This window comes from Homo sapiens, chromosome 7, assembly GCF_000001405.40.
Source record: "Homo sapiens chromosome 7, GRCh38.p14 Primary Assembly".
Lineage (NCBI taxonomy): Eukaryota > Metazoa > Chordata > Mammalia > Primates > Hominidae > Homo > Homo sapiens.
In genome coordinates this window covers 78361734-78384013 of record NC_000007.14, presented here as the reverse complement: position 1 = coordinate 78384013, position 22280 = coordinate 78361734, and the positions used below count along the sequence as shown (strand labels likewise).

The following is a 22280-nucleotide window of genomic DNA, read 5'->3' as shown; positions in this document are numbered from 1 at the left end:
CAAAATATATTACAAGGGTATGGTAACCAAAACAACATGGTATTGGTATAAAAATGGATACATAGACCAATATAACAGAATGGAGAATCCAGAAATAAAGCCACATATTTACAGCTAGCTGATATTCAACAAAGCCAACAAGAACTTATGGTGGGAAAAGGACACCCTCTTCAATACATAGTGCTGGGAAAATTGTCGTGTGCAGAAGAATGAAACTGGATCCCTCTCTCTCACTATATACAAAAATCAACTCAAATGGATGAATGACCTAAACATAAGACCCAAAACCATAAAGATATTAAAAGGAAACCTAGGGGAAACTCTCTTGGACACTGGTCTAAGAAAAGAATTTATGACTAAGACCTCAAAAGCACAGAGAACAAAAACAAAAGAAAAAGTGAACTATGTTAAACTAAAAATTTCTGCACAGCAAAGAAAACAAGCAGCAGAGTGGAAAGACAGCATGTTGAATGGAAGAAAATATTTGCAAATCATTCATCCAACATGGTACCAATATCCAGAATATACAAATAAATCAAACAGGAAAAAACAACTAATCCCATTAAAAAGTGGGCAAATGATATGAATAGACAGTTCTCAAAAGAAGACATACAAACACTAACAGATATGTAAAAAATAATCAGTATCACTAATCGTCAGAGAAATGCGTATAAAAACCACAGTGAGATATCATCTTACCCAGTGAGAATGGTTACTATTCAAAAGACAAAAAAAATACCAGATGTTGGTGAGGATGCAGAGAAAAGGGAACTGTTGTACACTGTTGGTGGCAATGTAATTCAATACAGCCACTATGAAAAACAGTATGGAGATTTCCCAGAAAAACTGAAAATAGAATCACCGTTTAATTCAGCAATCCCACTATTGGATATCTACTCAAAGCAAAAGAAATCAATATATCAAAGAGATACCTACACTCATGTGTTTATTGCAGCACTATTCAAAATAGCAAAGATATGAAATAAACCTAAGTGTTCATTAACAGATGAACTGATACAGAAAACGTGGTATATATACACAGTAGAATAATATTCAATCATAAATAAAAAAGTCAAATCATGTCATTTCCAGCAACATGGATGGAACTTGAGGTCATTATCTTACGTGGAGTAAGCCAGCACAAAAAGACAAATATCATATGTCCTCAGTTATATGTGGGAGCTAAAAAATGTGATCATATAGAGGTAGAGAATGGAAAGAGAGATAAAAGACTATGAAAGGTGAGTGGAAGTTGAGGGGAGGCTGAAGAAAAGTGGGTTAAAGGGTGCAAAAGTACAATAAGATAGAAGGAATAAATTCAGTGTTCGATAGAGTACGGCGACTGTACTTAAAATTGTATTGTACTAGGGTGGTAGACACCCTAATACCCTGACTTGATCACTATGCATTATATACGTGTAACAAAATTTCTTGTGTATGCCATAAGTTTGCACAAATAAATATGATTATTTCTCTTTTGAACCTCAATGAGTTTTTAATGCTTTTACCTTTTGAGTTGCTGTACGATGAAACCCTAGTCCTAGAATCTCTAATTTCTTCAAGATTTGACTTAATTTTTTTGACTGGTTAGCAATTTTGTACACATGTAAGCTCATTTGTTATTGTTTGTATTAGATTTCAAGTTATTTTACATTTTTTTTTTGAATAAGAGAGCATGAGTATTAATGTATATGAAAAAGATATACTCAGAGAAGTCTCATTCCCTTTCTGATCTCTCCCACTCGTCTGTTCATACCACCTCTTATAGTTAAGTAGTTTCTTTAGTTTGTGGCTCTTCTTCCTGTGTTTTTTTAAAAAAAACGAACATTTGAATGTTTTTGTTTAACAATATGATCTGCATATAACCACATATCAGATCATAGAGACTTTCTTCACAGATTTTACAGCTGTATAGTTCTGTACTGTCTGCACATATCATGTACATTTAACCAGTCATCTCTGGTTGGGTATTTAGATTGTTTCCATGATTTGCTATTAAAATAATGACGCATTGAATAACTTTGTTTGTTTGCTTAAAAAGTATTGTTGAAGATAAAACTGTAGAGAAATTTCTCAGAGGAGAGATTTTTGAGTCAAAGGGTAAAATTTATCTGGTTATGTTAGCTACTGCCAAATTCTCCTCCTAGAGGTTGTACCACATTGTCCATCCACCAGTAAGGTATGAGGGGACAGTTTCCCCACAACCTTGTCTAAGAGTGTGTTGTCAAGCTTTTGAATTTTTGTGTCTGTTAGAGAATGATGTCTCAATATAGTGTTAATTTGCATTTCTTCTATAATGAAGGAGGTAGAACATCTTTACCCATTTAAGGGTCATTTGCATATACTTTTTGTGAACTCTCTATTCCTGGCTTTTGCATATTCCTCTATTAGGTGGTTAGGTTTTTTTCCCTTCCATTTAAAAAAGTTCTTTATTAAGGAGAGTAGCTCTTTATCACTGATATGTTACAAATATTTTCTCCCAGTTCATCGGTTATCTTTTAGTATTAGTTATGGTATTTTGAGCTATAGAAGATATTCTTTTCTGTTTTTATGTAGTTAAATTTGTCGAGCTTGAATCAGAGTAAGAAAACCTTTCCTCATACTTGGATTATAAAGGAATTTACCCCTAGTACTCATGTTGTTTCTTTTCTTTTCTTTTCTTTTAATTGAGACAGAGTCTTATATGTCACCCAGGTTGGAGTGCAGTGGCGCGATCTCAACTCACTGCAATTTCTCCTTCCTGAGTTAAAGCCATTCTCTTGCCTCAGCCTCCCGAGTAGCTGAGATTACAGATGCGCGCCACAACGGCCAGCTAATTTTTGTATTTTTAGTAGAGACAAGGTTTCGCCATGTTGGCCAGGCTGGTCTCAAACTCCTGACCTCAAGTGGTCCGCCAGCCTCAGCTTCCCAAAATGCTGAGATTACAGGTGTGAGCCACTGTACCTAGCCTCATTTTGTTTCATTTGTTCTTTTATACTTGAAGATTACTATGGTAAATTGACCAAAAATCTTTCTAATTAAGCTAGAAAGATGGGGCTCATTTCCATCAATTATATTTTCCTAAGAAATTGCCCATTTTAGGTTTTAAAATTTTGTTAGCATATATTTGTGCCAGGTATTACTTTATTTTTATTTTTGTGGATACACAGTGTGTGCATATATTTATGGGATACATGAGATATTTTAATATCGGCGTGCAATGCATAATAATCTCGTGAGGATAAACGGGATATCCAACCCTTCAAGTGTCTGTGTTACAAGCATTTTAATTATATTCTTTTGGTTATTTTTAAATGTACAATAAAATATTGTTGACTATAGTCTCCCTGTTGTGCAATCAAACACTAAATCTTATTCATTCTATCTAACTATATTTTTGTACCCTTTAACTATCCCCCCTTCCTCTGCTACCCTTACCAGCCTCTGGTAACCATCATTCTACTCTATATATTCATGAGTTCGGTTGTTTCAAGTTTTAGCTCCCACAGCTGGGTGAGAACATGTGACATTTGTCTTTCTGTGCCTGGCTTGTTTCACTTACTATAATGCCCTCTAGTTTTGTCCATGTCATTGCAAATGACAGGATCTCATTCCTTATTATGGTTGAATAGTACTCCATTGTATATATATAGCACATCTTCTTTACTCATTCATCTGTTGATAGACACTTAAGGTTGTTTCCAAATCTTGGCTATTTTTACTATTGCTTCCTTCTTGGTACTTCTTGCTTTGTTATATATGACTTAACTCTTTTTAATCTTAAGCTAGCTAGTGTTTATTTTGCTTTTTTAAAAAAAGAAATAGTCTATTTTGTACAATTTTTTTGCTTTTATTATTTGTTTTCCTCGTGTGTGTGTGTGTGTGTGTGTGTTGTCCCTAGAGGTTCCTTTGTTGTTCTTTTTATAGCTTTTTAAATTTTGAATTTACTTTTATTATTTCCATTCTCCTATGTGTATATATTATAAAATTTCTTCTGGTCACTGTTTTAATTGTGTGCTACAGATTTTTTATTTAATATTTTACCTCATTCATTTTAGAAAATATGCAATTTCAGTTAACATTTCCTCTTTGGACCAAGAGTTATTTCAAATTCTTAATTTCTAGATGAAATTTTCTTTGATCATAATTTTGACACTAACATCTACATTTTATTGCATTATGGTCAGGATTATTGTTTGCACTATTTCTGCTTCATGGAACTTAAGAATTTTTTGTAATCTAACAATTTTGGCGAGTGTTCCATGCATATTTGAGAAGGATGTGTATTTTCTATTATTGTAGTATGAAATTGGAAAGAGAAAGATGGATGGAAAGAAAGGGAGTAAGAGCCACAAGATCTGCCTAGTTATGATATTTAGTTCTTTCATATCTGTAATTTTGTCAACTTTATCTGTCTTAGACTGAAAATAGTCAAAGTGCTTCTTATTAGTGTGTTTTTCCTCACAGCTCCTGTAGTTACTGTTTTGTGAAGGTGGTTTATATTATTTGGTACACAAATATTGATAACTGTTGTAGAGCACTCTGAATTGTGACCTTTATTGTTATAAAGTGGGATTTCTTGTCATATTTAAAGCTTTTGACTTGAATTCTTCCATCTAATAGGAAGACTGTAAACTCTGTTTTATTTTTCTTGTCAGGCCTATCTTTGCCCAAACTTTATTTTTAGCTCTCTGAGTCACTTTCTTTAAATGTGTGTCATCTTTACAGGATGGAGTCAGGTTTTTCTTTATAAGCCAGATAGAAAATCTTAATAAGAAAGATAAATTACATTCAATTCTATGTTTGGTTTGAACTCTATCATATTTTATTTATTGCCCGTATTATAATATGACTGTTTATTTCTCTATGTGCCCTACTTTATTTATTCTTTTTTATTTATTTCTGTATTTAGGATGGTTTTTATTTGTGTTCTAATGTTTGTCTTTGTACTGATAACTTCTATAAGTCCCTGGTACTTAGGATGGCTTTTAATTGTGTTCTAATGTTTGTCTTTGTACTGGTAACTTCTATGAGGCCCTTATTCAATTGTCAATTTTAAATAATATTCATTGACTCTCACCTGTTGCCTAAGCAATAGTACGTGAGCTCATTGGCCATTGTACTTTTTTTCCCTCTCCTCTCTTTTTAAATTATATTACTTCTATATTGTCTCAATATAAGACATTTACATATTATTATTCTATCTTTGTCCCCACCTTTCATATAAGCTTAGATCTACAATTAAATGTGTTGAATGATTACCATTAGTCCTGTCCTCAAAATATCTCTTGGTCGAAGTAGCTTGGTTTAATTAAGTAGGTATGTGTCAGGAAGGGATCTTGGGTAGAATAAACTGTTTATATGGTGGGGGGTGTGTGTATTTGCACAATGAATACTTGAAGTACAATTTGGCTGGATATAAAATTCTTAGCTCACACTTTCTTTGAGAGTCTTTAAAATGCTGCTTCACTGTTTTCTAGATGTGTTCGTTCTTCCTGAGATTTAATGTTAATTTGATTTTTCCATTGTAAGGAGCTTATCTTTTAGCCATGTTTTCTCTACCTTTTAAAGTCTAATGTCTTACTGGTATGTATTTTGGAATTGACTGGGGACAATTTTTCCGGCTATATGACAACACTTTTCAATATATAGATATAGTTATTTTATTTCTGGAAATTTTTCTTGGATCACAGTTTTATGTATTAGTTCTATTCTATTTTCTTCTTCTTTATGTATTCCAATTATGCATATGCTGGATTATCTCTACCTACCTTCTATATTATTGACCTCTCTGATTCTTTTTACCTTTTTGTTTATTTCATTTACATTCTCTTGGCTATTGTCATGGCTTTCCTCAATAGTCCTTATATTTTAGGTTCACTCTATTTTCTCTTTGGCAGTTTGTAATTTGGTCATTTCAGATTTTTTTAAATTTTATTTCATCATTTTTGTCAACTATCTTTTACTATCTGTCTGTTCTTTGTCCATTAATGTTCAAAGCTTTTAAATATGTGATTCAAAGTGGTGTTTTTATTTATAAGTATTTGTTTCAAAATATCTCTAGGTTTTATTACAACTTTCTTGTTTGCAATTTTGTTTTTGTTTTCTCTTGAGAGAAATTTTCATTAGCTGAATTGTTTTGGCTATCATTTTCTGATTATTTTCTTATAGTAACTTTCTATAAATAGTCTGCTCTTTTTTTTTGTTTAGTTTGATATTTCTTTTGTTCCTAGACCAGCGATAACAGTTTCATGTAAGCAAAAGTAAAGGACTTGGTGGATTACTACATTTTTTAGTTCATGAGCACCCCCTTCTGTTGCTTTCATGAAGTACAGATTCCTCAGTGGATGCCTTTTTTATTTTTATTTTTTATTTTTTATTATTATTATTATTTTTTGCAGAGTAGTTGGTGTGTCTTATGAACTTATCTGCAGATATTTGATATTCACCTCATACTTTTTTCCTTCATAGCCAAGTCTCCAAGGAACAGCCCCCTCTCCCACTAACATCATCCCCCTCTTCTTCAGAAGCTGGGCCTTCCCAAGAATGTTATTCTGCTCACTGTCAACCCCCTTTCTTTCAATTCTTCATACTTGTGTTCTAATCAAGCAGGTTTGCTAGAAACATTTCTTCACTCGGGATGGGAATTTACCTTTCTGAGCATTATTTTTTCTGTTTTCCCACCTTACCTCACACCTGCTACACCCTACCCTCCTTTCTGCACAGTCTCCACTCTGGCACTAGCTGGCTGCACTGGATTGGAGCATTCACATCCCTACTTATATATAACTTTTGAAGTTCATACTATTTTGTTTCTCCTCATAATGTTGTAGGTGTAGGTTATGGGTGGCTTTATTTCTCTCTTAGTAGATATTTACTGTTTTTAAGGGGTAAGTAGAGAGGTTAAAATCTATATATCAGCCTTTACACTATAATAGAGTCCAGGATGTTTACATAAGCATTTTCAAATGGATAATGATGATGATAAATAGTTGGATGGGTAGATTAACACAGGCTTCTAGAAGTTGAAGCTGGAGATGCATATTTTGAAGTCCTCCATATATAGTTGCTTCCCAAATCTTTCTTTGTAGCCAGCCCTTTCTACAGATTACTAGAAATATAAAGACAAAAACCTACTAGGTTCATCATGTTTTGACCTTGTAATGCCGCTTGCAAACTTAAACCAAGGACGACTCTTGCTAAGTCTTTACCAGACAACATCCTTTATAGTGCCATGCTTTTCTGCCACCGCTTCTTGTCACCATCTCAAATACATAGATGTCATATTTAAGTTAGTGTTGCAAAAGTTCATGGCTTTTCTCCAGATAGTATTCTGAATCCCCAAAATACTATTGACTATATATTTTTTCATACATCAATAGCTGCCAAGAAAATTGTTTCAATTTTCTATTAAATTTGGTAAGATATATTAATGAATAAATTTATTTGAAATTTTCTCTGCAATCACATCTTTCATCAACAACCAGCCCATAAAATCATGGTCAGTATTTTAATTTTTTATTATAATATGGTGGAATTAAGTACTCAGGTTAACTCTACTTGATAATATGAATTACATATCATCACTGTAGAATACAGCTCAGCTAGTTTTTCTTTCCACTGTAAAATAATAAATCTCCTATACCCAGAGTTCATAAATAAAGACTTCATAGCCTACATTTCCATGATATTGACTGGGTTTGTGCTCCCATGTAGGCAATATCTGAGAAAGATGAAAGAGAGCGGAACATAAAGGAGCAACATTTTCTATATTCAGTTTTAGGTTTTTTAATTTGTTCTTTGGTTTTGGTTTAGTTGTTTATTTTCCTGACTGAATGGAATAAAGATTTCTGGTAAAAAGGAGCAAACTGGAACCTTGATACATGGAAAAAGGTCTGAAAAGTTACACCCCCAGCTTTACCTGTACATGAGGTAATGGGACTGTGGTTAGCTTTCATTAATGTATGGATTTAGCTTTTAAAAAAAAAGAATATATTCAGGATTTACTTTTATAGTATCAAATGCATTTTTGAATAAAGGAAAAAAGAGACAAAGATATAATACCTTTTGTTAGCAAAAAGTCATCTATTCTATATTTTATCCTTGCACAATGATCTTTCTCTTCCTCCTTTTTCTTGTTAATTCTAAAAACATATTTCATATTTTAAACTCACTTATATTAAGGATTCCTCAAACTCCTAAAGACCAACTAGGAGCAAAAGCTGTATAACTTTTACAAGAAAATTTAGTTATATTCCCCAGTTTGTATACAAGTATATAGCAAAAATCTAAAATATTAGAGGAAAAGATTTTGTAATAAGTAGCTATTACCATATAATACACTATACACTACATTACTTAACCTATGGGAATTTTTTATGTTCCTTATTTTCTTTTGTACAGTCATTACCTCTAAAACAATCAAACAAGAACCTCAAATTTTGTTTTTTTTTTAAAAAGGCTAGTCAACATAAAATAATATAGGGTTGAAGGATATGGTTTCTGGTTTTTGGTTTCTGCTTCTGTCTCTGATATCTTAGTACATTGCATGATTCCTAAATTGGGCTGCCTTTCTGTAAAAGGAGGCCCATTCTGGTCTTCCCACCAGAATAGACCTCCATACAACCTTACATGAATTTACATAACCAATGCTTTGTGGCCCATACAAGACACCGCCTCCCAAGAAAGGAACAATGCCTGACTCTAGATTTAACACTCCTGTTACTGAATCTGTGACTTCTAGGACCCAGGATGCAGCTGCATTTAAACATGAATGTTGTATTTACCCAGTTTTTCTAGGGAGCAGAAAGACAACAAAAAATAAATAAAAGGTAAGATAGCAAAATTAAAAGTCATTCTCTTGAATATACCTATTGAAAGACATCAACAGAAGCCTGGGAATGGTGGTGCACCCATGTAATCCCAGCACTTTGGGAGGCCAAGGCAGGTGGATAACCTGAGGTCAGGAGTTGGAGACCAGCCTTGCCAACATGGTGCAACCCCATCTCTACTAAAAATACAAAAAAAAATAGCCAGGTGTAGTGGTGTACGCTTGTAATCCCAGCTACTCAGGAGGCTGAGGAACAAGAATTGCTTGAACCCAGGAGGTAAAGGTTGCAGTGAGCCAAGATTGCGCCACTGTCCTCCAGCCTGGGTGACAGAGCGAGACTCTGTCTCAAAAAAAAAAATCAACACAATGTAAAAGAAGAATATAAGTGCAAAAATCCTACATTCTCATTTTATTTAAATTTCAGTTCTATCAAAATGAATCCAGTGTTCTGTGTATCTGATTTCACATTAATATATAGTGTGACCATGATACCAAAACCTGGCAAGACACAATGAAAAAAGAAAGCTACAGGCCAATATCCCTGATGAACATAGATGCAAAAATCCTCAACAAAATACTAGCAAACCAACTTCAAGTTCTCAAAAGCAATTGCAACAAAAACAAAAATTGACAAGTGGGACCCAGTTAAACTAAAGAGCTTCTGCACAGCAAAAGGAACTATCAACAGAGTAAAAAGATCTACAGAATAGGAGAAAATATTTGCAAACTATTTATCTGACAAAAATCTAATACCCAAAATCCATAAGAAACTTAATTGAAGAAGCAAAAAACAAATAACTTTATTTAAAAATGGGCAAAAGACATGATCAGACACCCCACAAAAGAAGACATACAAGTGGCCAACAAGCATATAAAGATATTCCATATCACTAATCATCAGAGAAACACAACTCAAACCACAAAAGGATACCATCCTACACCAGTCAGAATGGCCATTAATAAAAAGTCAGAAAACAACAGATGTTGGTGAAGCTGCAGAGAAAGGGGAACACTTACATGGAAAGCAGTTTGACAGTTTCTCAAAGAACTTGGAATAGAACTACTAGGTGAGTAAGCAATCCTGTTACAGGGTATACACCCAAAAGAAAACAAATCATTTTACCAAAAGACACACGCACTCACATATTTTTGCTGTAGCACTTTTTACAATAGCAGAGACATGGAATCAACCTAGGTGTCCAACAATGGTGGATTGGATAAAGAAAATGTGGTATATATGCACCATGGAATACTATGCAGCCACACAAAATAACAAAATCATGTCCTTTGCAGCAACATGGATGCAGCTGGAGGGCATTATCCTAAGCAAATTAATGCAGGAAGAGAAAATCAAATATTGCATGTTCTCACTTATAAGTGGGAGCTAAACACTGGATATTCATGAACATAAAGATGGCAACAATAGACACTTGGGACTACTAGAAGGTGAAGGGAAGGAGGGGGAAAAGAGTTGAAAAACTGCTCTGTGCTACTATGCTCAGTACCTGGGTGATGGGATCATTCATACCCCAAACCTCAGCATCATGAAATATACCCAGATAAGACACCTGCACATGCACCCCACTGAAACTCAAGTAAAAGTTGGAAAGAAAAGGTTTTTAAAATAAAGTGTGAGTAGGAGCCCTCCAATAGTAAGAGTAAGTGACCTAGATTTTTCCATGTTTTCGTTTTGATGCTATTTTAGACTTCTAAAAAATTACAAAAATACTACAAAGTGGCTCCCCATAACTCCCACTTAGCTGCCCCTAACATTTACATCTTTCATAAGTACATTGAACCCAGGAAATTAACATCCGTATAAACGATTACCTAATCTACAAATCTTATGTGAATTTTGCCAGTTGCTCCACTAATGTCCTTCTTCTGGTTCAAGATCCAATTTATTATCCCACAGTGCATTTAGTCATCATGTCTCCATATTCTCCTTCATCTGTGGTAATATCCCAGTCAGTTTTTCTCTTTCATGACCTTGACCCTTTCTAAGGGTACTTGTCAGCTACTTTATTGAATATCTGTCCACTTGAGTTTGTCATATGTTTCTCATGATCAAAATGGCATTCCTGGCCGGGCACAGTGATGCGCACTGTGGTTCCAGGTACTCAGAAGGCTGAGGGGAGAGGATTCCTTGAGCCCAGAAGTTTGAGTTCAGCTTGGGCAACACAACGGAACCCCGACTGTTAAAAAATACACACACATAAGGTTATTTATTTTTGACAAGTATACTACAGAGGTAAAGCTGTGCCCTTCTCAGTGCATAATATCAGAATGTGGATATCTTCTTACTGAGCTACCATAAAGGGGTCTCTGTTTTCTGTAATGAAAGTGTAGCTGACTAAAGATTAAATAAATAAATGAAATAATATTTGGGAAGCACAATTAAATTTAAAAAATATAGCATGCTGACTATGCCAGAATCCAGGCAAAGCTAGGTGCGTGTTTAATCTTTTGTTTTTATTCCAGTTTTCCAAGCTGATATTATTGACTACAAATTAATCTAGACTTTTTCATGGTAGGAATATTTAATCACTGAATTTGCCCCATGGTTCCATGGCCTGAAGAAAATCTCAATTAAAACAGTTCTTAATGCAACATTAACCTTGCTGATCTCAAGTGTTTATTTTTTCCTGTTGCATCATGTATGTTATTCTTTCATCAGTGTTACCTTAATCATCCACAGATTTGTCAAGTATTGTTGAATACAGTATTCTAAATAACCTAGGACTCAAAAGCTCCAAGCTACATGCTTGCCTGATTGGACAAATAGTGCGATGTTGGAAATTCTTTTTCTCATCTGTTAGCTTAATTTAAAGAAGCAGCAGTTGTTTTGTTTTTTTAAACTAATCCAAGTCCAAATAGCTTAATTTTCACAGTGAAAGATAATTCTTAACTTTTTCATTTTTCATCATCTAGATGTGTACTCTTCAGTGTATAATGTTAAGAAGTTTTTTTGATGACTTGTCTTTTTACAAGTGAAGAAAAACTTGTGAAAGTTGTGTTTTTTCATTAGCATACTAGGTTAAATCTTTGTTTTTGAAGCAAAATGTCAATAAAAGAATACACACAAACACACATGTGCCAACATATACACACAGGTACACATGCATATATACATATACATACAACTTTTTAAACATTAGTTGTATATTTTTACATCCATTCTGCTCCAAATGAAGCAATGCGTGTATCTGCTATTGGTTTCCTGTAAGGTTCCTCCATCAATTCCTTGACAATATTTAAAATGAAACAAATGGTGCTCTTTCTAACAGAAAGTTAGAACTAGTGTATAATTTTGCCTCAAAGTGTGAGTCTAGGACCTCTAACAGTTCTTAAAACACAAATGTGTATGACATATAATTTTGTTTCAGCATGAAATAATAGTTTACTTTGGAAATCTGAAACAACCAAACGAACACACAAAACATGTTGATATCTTATGAAAAATAAAGTAGATTCTCCCTAAATTCTGATGAGGACTGCATGATAACAAGTGGGACAGTATAATATATAATAAATTGTACCCAAGAAATTTGGCATTGTAAATCTGACAAAGAAAAGAATCAATGAACTCTGCCCTTCTGGGATATATTGCTTAGAACTAGTAATTTACTCAGATTAAAATGAAATAATCATTTACTTTATAAAAGATAATTGTACAAACTTTGACCATGAAATGCTTCCATATGGCATTGGCATTAAGAAGTAGGGCTGTATTCATAAGTTAACTACGTTAGGCTTTTACTCTTTATGTTTATTGAACATGATTGTTTTATATATTGTTGCATTCATAAGATGATGTTAAACCTGTTATAAATACATATCCATGTATCGAACCATATTAATAAATTAATAATAAATATCCATAATATTAATTGCTGTCCTCTGTATATTCTTTTACTTCTGGATGAGCTGCTTATAAAAAAGGGTTTTGAATGAGCTGTTTATAAAAGGCACTCAATAGATACTTGTCAAATGAATTCCTTTTTACTAGATGAATTTGCCAATAGCTTGGGGGATTTGGTGAAAACCATCTGGAGAGTTATTCTTCTTAATCTAAATTAAGTGGTGTTTATGCCTTGTTAAACAGAGTTTCTGAATTGATATTTAAATTGGGTAAGTTTACTGGAACCAGAGTACAGGGTTTTTGAGTCCTGAGTTGCTGGCATAATAAAATGAGTTAGTACCTAGAAAATCCATCAGTACTCAAACCACAAACAATACTCAGTAAAGGTTTACTCTTATTATCCTTCTGAAAGAAAGATTTCTTAAGGTACTCTAAAATTTGGTGTTGTAAGTTTAAATTATCCTTCTTAGTATGAATCATATCTTTGGCTGCAGAAATACTCATATGTTCAATTATAAACTGCTTTCCCCAACTCTACTTAGAGTGTTATGAAAGAGAAAGCACTTGCACTGTGTTAACTTTCTAAAATTGCAAAAATTCTAAATTCTAAAACATATATGTTCCTAAAAGTTTTGGATGAGGAATTGTGGATCTGTATTTAATTTGATGGTACAGAGAAACAAAATCACTCATACACTCTCAGTGAGATTATAAATTAGTACTTTTTTATGAGTTGGGAAGGTAGAAATCTGGTAATATATGTCAAAAACAATAAAAGGATGCATGCCCTTTGATCCAAAATTTCACATCTAGGAATTTTTCCATACTATATTATAGAAATATGATAAAAGATTTACATTTTAGTAGGTCCAATACAGATGACACATGACAGGTAAAAACTAGAAAGTCCCAAATATTCAAAAATAGAAAAATGATGAATTACACAGCTTCTAGCTGTGCTGCCGACTACTGTTGCCACCTTGAAAATGATATTGTGCGGTAACACACATTCACATTGAATGACATCCTTGATATTCTGTTAAGTAGAAATATAAGGCTATAAAAGTAATATGCACTGTATGTGGTAATTTCTTTTAAAAGTATGTGCACACATATGCATAGAAAATTATTTGAAGGATATTCACCTAAATATTAACACTGGTTATTTTTGGGTGGCAGGATTGCTGGTAATTCCAGTTTTCTTTTGATAACTGTGCTTTGTCTACAGTGATACATATTATTGCTATAATAATAAAACTTTTTAAACTTCACTGAAATATATTTAAACTTGTCAATATATCTTAGGTTTCAATTTCTATATATGTAAAAATTCATATCTACCAAGAAAAATACAGCATTCTTCATATTTGTAGGAGTTAATAATTATAAAACCTTGGTGTATTTGGAAAACAATATTATGAAGCAAAGCCTAGTTTTCAGACAGCATGTTTTTGCCTGTAATAGGATTTATAGTATTGTTGATTTTTTTTAATGTGTGTGTGTGTGAATTAAAATTAGCTATGGAGAATTGAAAATATGAACTATAATATCAAGGAAAGCATGTTCACAATTTTATACCTTATTTTTAAAATATGCCCAAAGAGTGTATTGGCAGCATTCAAATTCTGACCCATGTGGAGTAACAGCAAGCCTACCATCTCAAATAGTGGGATATCAATTGAGAATTTATAATGTCTTTGTTTCAGTCATCAGAAACAATTTGCTGTTCTCAGAAATATATTTTGAAAATGTGGTCTTTGTCCTGAAATCCTCCTTTAGCAATACAAATAAATAAGAGAAACATATACACTTTCAGGAAAGCGATTTGCCTTCTATATTGCACTAAATGGTGATAACGTGATGACATGCCATCCTACTATTTGGCATGAGACAAATGGCTAGACCGAGCAGTGTATCTGCAGAGAAGAGAGCTCTGTGTTTTAACTGCCAGTTTTCAAGTCAGTGCCTCTTATAGTTTCTATAATATGTTCTGAAATTTGCTGCTGACTCTGAATGCTTTGTTCCACTTTGGCAGACCATTTCTGCAATCCATGAACAATTAAATTATATTACTTTTTATTAGAAATTGTGATATTCTTTATTTACTGAAAGAACTCTTTATTTTTCAGAGCTTCCATATGGCTGGGAAAAAATCGATGATCCCATTTATGGCACTTATTATGTTGAGTAAGTCTCTAAGTGTGATATTAACTTGTTATTAATATGTTGTGAAATTATGTTAGTATTTTATTTATTGAGCATGTGTGGCTCACAGCCCCTTCATTTCCCTTTCATCTTACTTTGAAGTATCCACCAAGACTAGCAGCACTAGCTAGCTGTTTCTTTCCTCTCCAGCTGGCTAATTTGTCATTCCTTTCCTTTGACTCAACGATTCTAAAACACCAATTGAAAAAGTGTGTTTCACACTGTCCTCTAAATGAGTGATAATTAAAGATATCAAAGTAAATGCCTTTCATTTTGCAATCAAAATGTTGGGAGCTGACTGGTTGTGCAAATGAGATGTTCTATTAAAACAGATTTCGAAGTCAATTAAATGAATCAGACATATTTTTTAGTTGAAAAATAAAATAAAATTTAGATTTTTTTTCTTTTTTGGGACCTCATTCCAAATCAACAGTATTCTTTCGGTACATTGGACTTTTATGTTACCTATTGGAGGTTACATTGCAATAATTTGTCATGGTATGAATTATCCCCCCATGCATCCTTTTATTCGGAACAAATACACTATTCAGGGTTAAATTATATACACATATTTTTCTTGGGAAATCAAGTAATATTCATAATTTTCAAAAGTTAAATATGTGATTTATTTTTCTAGAACTCTCTCCAAACAGACGATTGTTTTTCATTCTTATCTATCGTATAATGTTCCTAAAGTTATTTGGGTGAATAACAAAGCCTACATATTCCTTATGGGAAATACTACCCAAGAAATCCAGAGGTTGAAAAACAAAAGACTTTCACATTGTTCATCAAGATCCTACTTTGTTTTTTCCAACCACATTCTGTTTAATAGTTACAGATGGTCAAGAGTTACAGGTTGGCTTTAGTGCTAAATTGTTTTTGTAACAATATTCAAAAACGGTTACTGAGCTTTTATTAGGTGTCATGCCATTCTTGGCACTGAAAATGTACAGATAAGTAAAATCTGTGTGCTCTCTGCCCTTGAGTATCTCCCTCAGGAGCACTTGTCTTAACTACATTCACCCATCATTTTCATTTGGAAAAGCCCCAATTTTGGCTCCACAGTCATTTCCAGATTCACAGTCAAGGTGAATTCAGCTCATTTTCCACATGCAATCTGCTAGCATAGTATCTAATGTATGGTGTCACATGGACACTGAACAAATACAAAAAAAGTAAGATAAATACATAGAGGTATCTCTAACTGCAAAAATAAAGGGACATCATTTATAAACAGTTATAAGGCCTCTGTGTCCCACTAGATTGCTGATGAATTAAAGTACCTACATGTTTTAAATAACATAGTTACGGTCCCTAAATAAATATAACACTAAATATTTCAAATAAATGCTAGCTTGTCTTAATTCACTGAATCAAACTGTACTGTGTCTAAGCCTACTACATCCGATATTCAAGGAAATTCCATGTAAGGAAAGAGAACTGAGTGTGAGGCATATCACATCTTATCTTTAGTATATTTCCTCACAGAATCATTGAAAAAGAACCACTCCTTAGTCCATATGTTGGCAAAATCCATAAAAACCCAGATAGCAAATATTTGGGGTGGAGGACAATACGGCCTCTGTTATAACTGCTTAGCTCTGCTGTTGTAGCTTGAAAGCAACCATCAGCAACATCAGCTACGTTCCAATAAAACTTTATTTACAAAAACAGGCAGCTGGTCAAATCTTGCCTGCAGGTCGTAGTTTGCTGGCCCCTGCCCTATTTTAATTCTTCCGGTTGTTTTTTCATATCTTCAGCTCCTTTCAAGCTAACTTCCAATGCAGGAGAGGATTTAACTAAAACCTTTCTTCTCTGTCCTAATCATCTAACAGAGAGGCAAGACACCCCTGTGTCAGAAAGCTATGCTTCATCCCTTCTTGATCATCGAGATGTGTGTTCTGCAAGTGAAGATCTGCTGCTGGTAGATCCTTTATAACTAATTATGAAATTGGACACTGGCTGTAACCCTAAACGAAAATTTTTCTTATCTTTGTACTTCAAATTTGTGTGTGTGTGTGTGTGTGTGTGTGTTTGCCTACATTATACTTCTGTGTACATTTCTCAACTTCATTTTCCATGTAACACAGCCATTGTCAGAGTATTATATAGAATGTAGTCAGTCATGTGTTCTATAATTAGATCAGGCTGACATGTTTAATAGTTTTAGATTTTAAGTGATCGGGAGGTTGTATATACAGGTCACAGTGGGTCAAAATAGTTTAATTTTCTTCCCGTTACATTCAGTTCTATTATTTGTCATGGTCTTGTCCCCATTACATGATTTTATAGAGTTGACCAGTGTCAGTAATTAGGTGTGTGGGTGTAGCAGGCCACACAGAAAACTGAGACAAATAAACAGATAATTCAAACTTAAAGACAATGTTAAGTAGAATATTATCCCAATATTTATTGGAAACATCTTCTTGAAAAACTTCATAAACATAACTAAAATACCTGTTATTGTATATGATGTATACATTACTTGAGATGGGGGATATCTTCCATCATCCCAAAAATCTTGTCAAATATTTTAATTGGAATACACTTATTTACATGGTTTGTTTTAATTCTGTATCTCATCTCTATTGCACTATTATTTTCACAAGGTATATATTGGTTCTGAATAGTAGCCTTCTTTATGGAAACTATAAGAATACATATGTAAACATAGAGGTTATTCATCACTTTCAGTATGTAGAGTGTTTTTGTTGGAAGAAGAAAGTCAACTAATTTCTTACCATAAAAGATTAGTAAATGTCTAGTCTAAGTTAAGTTGCTATCTCCACATTTTCGGTATATGTATTATAAATATAAAATAAAAACTGTCTAGGTTAAGATTCCATTCATAATTATAGTGATAGCATTAATATCTTAAGGAATTATATTTTTAATTGGTAATATTAATATTTAGTTAATATAACAAGCAATATCTTTTGTGTTAATATATAGTCAAGAAAATGTTGATTTACTAATGCCATTAGTGATAATGAGCAGTGGATTCTCTGTACAGCTATCATTCTTATGTTTAATTACACACCCATTCATACAATTGGAGGTACTCTTTACAAGATATGAAAAAGATTCCACCTTCCAACCCAGTAGCAAAAAAAGCTTACGTGCATGGACACAAGAGGTCCAATTTAGCAGTTAGCACCTCTCTTCAGATAGACCAACAACTGGGAACAGAAGTTACAGGTTGGGCTCTGTGACATCAGATTGAAATCAGTGTAATGTCTCTAGCACAGTTGCATAAACACACATTTTCCTCTCAGCCACAGACAAGCAAATAGCAATTGCAACAATCAATAGCAGAAGAGAATTTAAACAGCTAGAAAATGAGAAACCTGGATTGAGCAGGCTTTGACCACTATAACTGACTTTACCCTACTATGCCACTGTTCTATCCCCTGCAAATTCAATTTTAAGATTGTAGGTTTAATATATTCAAGAACCAGAAAGGTCATAATCATGTCATGGAAATTGTTAACCTTTATTGAGTGCTTAGTATGTGCCATTAACTGGGCTCAGTGCTTAACAGTTTCTATCACATTTATAATTCTCTCTATAGTGATAATGAGCTAAATTGTCTTAAGTTTACAGATGAGGAAACCCTGGCTAAAGAAGTTAAGTAACTTATCCAGAACCACACATTATTGAGATGAGGGGCTGAAATTTGGACCCAGGCAGTTTGACTGCAGAGCCCAGACTCCAAACTCTTACCCAAAATGCCTGCTATAAATTTCGCATTTATAACCCATAATGGTCTGAACAAGGCTTTGGGACCCATCCCTGGAGAAGAATGAGGGATTCCTCAAGAACATCTCCTCCCTGGCCTCCCTGTCGTACCGTTCTACAGCAGAATGCCCAACAATGTGAGGTCATGCTGCATGCAGAGCCTCATGAGACAGGCTGCTGACCCAGGCATTCTGAGCCACCAGCTCCATTACCCACCACTTTGGAGTAGCCCTGGACAACATGGCCACCGAGAGCAAGATGTGAAAGAAAGGGAATCCTTATTGTTTGGACCTTAACATAGAAATGTTGGCCCTCATTTGGATTAGTAGAGGCAACACACAGCTATTTTAGAAAACAATGGGCCCTACTCAACATCTTTTTAAATTTTATCTGCTGTCTGTGTAAACAGACCAAGTTCTCACTCTATGTAGCAGCAGAAAGAACTTAGCCCAATTTTTCCTGACAGACACCAAATCCGTGATGGTGCAGCACTTAGCACTACGTATTAAGAAGTCCTAAAATTGCTAACTAGGAATGTAACTGTCACTGTTCATAAAGATAGGAAAATTTTTTAATAACAATATGCAAAATGGAGAGTTGAACAGCTGTGACTTTTGTACAAATGTGGTTCTCTCTCCTCTTTAGTGAAATTATGTCTGCAGGGTACATTTTGGTTTTAATGGCAGTTACACAATTTGCTTAACTAGCTGCTGGTCCAGAAGACACGATTTGCTGGGACAGCTTTCATGCAAAGCTGCCTTCTCTGGCAGAGACAGAGAAGCAAACCATATAACTGTAGTTAAAATGATAGTGGAGACTGGCAGGTGTGATTTTCATGTAAAGGTTTTACAAGTTTTTCATGTGATGTCACACATCTGCTACTATAAAACATTATTTGTATGCAATTCCAGAAAGTATGAAAAATACTGCATAATATCTTGAATGTAACATTTAATGTAAATGGAAAATTGCATTCATTTCATGGTTAGTGGTGAGTATCCATCATGAGGTAGCAAGTTGGGAAGTGGTTAGAGAGAACTTGAACTCAATATCTTATCTTAATAATGCTTCATGGCTTTGAGTAGCTTTCTAAATTTTCTAGGAAAAAAAGTTCCTAACTTTAAAGTTTATAAAAAGTCAGTAAACATATGAAACATTTCCAATTAGAAATAAACATAAAAGAATACCCTTTTAAAATCTCACTAAGGAAAGCTCTAAATCTTATAAACAGAATTTGCACACATCAATTTTGGCCACTTAGTGGCCAAAAGTATGGGCTGCAGAGTTGCACAGTGTGCTAGCCCTGTAGCTCGCCAGCTGTGAGATCTTGAGTAGGCAGATTATAGAGAAGAAGGAGGAGGGAGGAGGAGGAGGAAAAGACGAGAAAGAAATGAGGAAGGGGAGGGGAGGGGAGGAACGCTTATTGTGCACTTCGTGCATGCCAAGTATTATTCTAAGTGATTTACATGTACTAGCTGATTTAATCTTTCCAGAAACTCTAGAAAGTCTGTTTTATTATCCCTATTTTATAGGTAAGGAAACTGAGCTATAGATATTTTTATAAGTACTATATAATAGAGCCAGAATTTGAACCTAAGCGGTCTTATTCCAGAGTTGGTATTTAGCACTTAACATAGGTATGTTCAGTAACTGTTCAATAAATGTTAGTAATTTTTAATCTTGTATATACCAATAATATGTAGAAAGCTTCTCCTTTTGGCATTACTTGCTTTTTCAATACTTTCATGATTACAGTATACTTCAAAAAGTGAACAATTCTAAGAGAAACTTTGATTTGGAAAGAAACATATAATCCCATGGCCAGAGTATGCCACAATGAATAAAAACAGTGTTTCTTCAGAATTATTATTATTATTATTATTATCATTATTATTATTATTTTCGAGATGGAGTCTTGGTCTGTCACCGAGGCTGGAGTGCAGTGGCGCGATCTCAGCTCACCACAGGCTCCGCCTCCCGGGTTCGCGCCATTCTCCTGCCTCAGCGTCCCGAGTAGCTGGGACTACAGGCACCCGCCACCGCGCCCTGCTAATTTTTTGTATTTTTAGTAGAGATGGGGTTTCACCGTGTTAACCAGGATGGTCTCAATCTCCTGACCTCGTGATCCGCCCACCTCGGCCTCGCAAAGTGCTGGGATTACAGGTGTGAGCCACCGCGGCCGGCCTCCTCAGAATTATTAACAATTCCGTAGCTGCAGAAAATGGCTTCCAAAGGCGTTGAGCCTTCAGTCATTCATAAGGAGGTTATATTGTCATAATTATCTAGAATATGTATCATCTCATATAGCTGGGAATTTGTTATAATAATAGTAGATATACCAATGTGTAAGGCATTATTTTAACTTCTACTTTTATTTTAACTTTTATTTTAATATGCTTTTACATCCATCATCCCGGATGACAGTCACAACATGTACAAAGGAGAAGATCAAATCTCTAAGGAGTTAACTGAGTTTTCTAAGGGAATATGACTGATAAGGTCGAAGCGATGCTGATGCCATTTAGAACAAAAAAACAGCCTCTCAGTAGAGTAGCTATATTTTTATGTTAATAAGTTTGTTCAATTTTTATACTTTACAACATATTTTCCTCTATTCAACAAGCATAAATCAGTAAACTCCACTTTATAGTTGAACAAAAGGAGCATGGATATCAAAACAAATATTGAGTGTCCTACCTCTAACTGAACTAGAGCTAGTTTTTTTATTAACTTATTTGACCTTAACTTATGACTGGTTTAACGTTTTACGTCCTTCTAGCTGACTCAGGCTGATTTTATAATTTGGGGCATCATTTCTCCTAGCCTGGATAAAACCAGTCATCAGGCCTCACGAGACATGAGTCGCTAAGATTCCCAGCAGTAAGTTAGGGGGTCTCCTAGCTCCACACACATGCTCTTAACTTTTCTGATAGTTCATAGTTGATAATTCCCACTTACCTCCCCGACCCTCTGTACTACTCACTCATGAAAACTTCAACTGGCTCTTGATTTCTTTCCCAATACTTCTTTTCAACTACCATTTTACTTTGCATGACAGAGTCCCTCAAACTTACTTACTTATTTACTTATTTATTGAAACAGAGTCTCGCTCTGTCTCCCAGGCTGGAGTACAGTGGTGCAATCTCGGCTTACTGCAACCTCCGCCTCCCAGGTTCAAGCGATTCTCGTGCCACAGCCTCCCGAGTAGCTGGGATTACAGGTGTGCGCTACCACACTCGGTTAATTTTTGTATTTTTAGTAGAGGTGGGGCTTCACCATGTTGTCCAGGCTGGTCTCAAACTCCTGACCTCAAGTGATCCACCCGCCTCAGCCTCCCAAAGTGCTGGGATTACAGACATGAGCCACCGAACCCAGCCCCCTCAAATGTTTTTATACCACGATCCTTTCACATGAAAAGAAGTCTCCCGTCCAGTCTCTCTTCTCACCACTACCATCCAGGCAAGATCTGGAGGTGCTTCATCTCCCTGTTTCTGAAGTTAGAGGTCGTTTTTCCTGCTGGGAGACACTTCACCATTGCTGGCTCATTCTAGCAGAATCGACATTTGCTCTCTATCCTACTCATACTCCGCCACCCTTAAACTGAAGGGATGAAAACTTGACTCTGTAATTAAATACACTTTTATTAGCGACTCTTACATCTTA

The 22280-nt window shown here is 34.6% G+C and overlaps 1 protein-coding gene across 15 annotated transcripts in view; it reads left to right on the top strand.

Annotated features, from left to right (window-relative positions):
• MAGI2 (membrane associated guanylate kinase, WW and PDZ domain containing 2) overlaps window positions 1-22280 on the top strand; it is a 1436613-nt gene that overhangs the window by 1069654 nt on the left and 344679 nt on the right. For all 15 annotated transcript variants that reach the window (XM_047421093.1, XM_017012845.3, NM_001301128.2 and 12 more), the window contains one exon: window positions 14801-14858. In XM_047421093.1, coding sequence (XP_047277049.1) covers window positions 14801-14858 — 58 coding nt within the window. The remainder of the gene's footprint in view (window positions 1-14800; window positions 14859-22280) is intronic.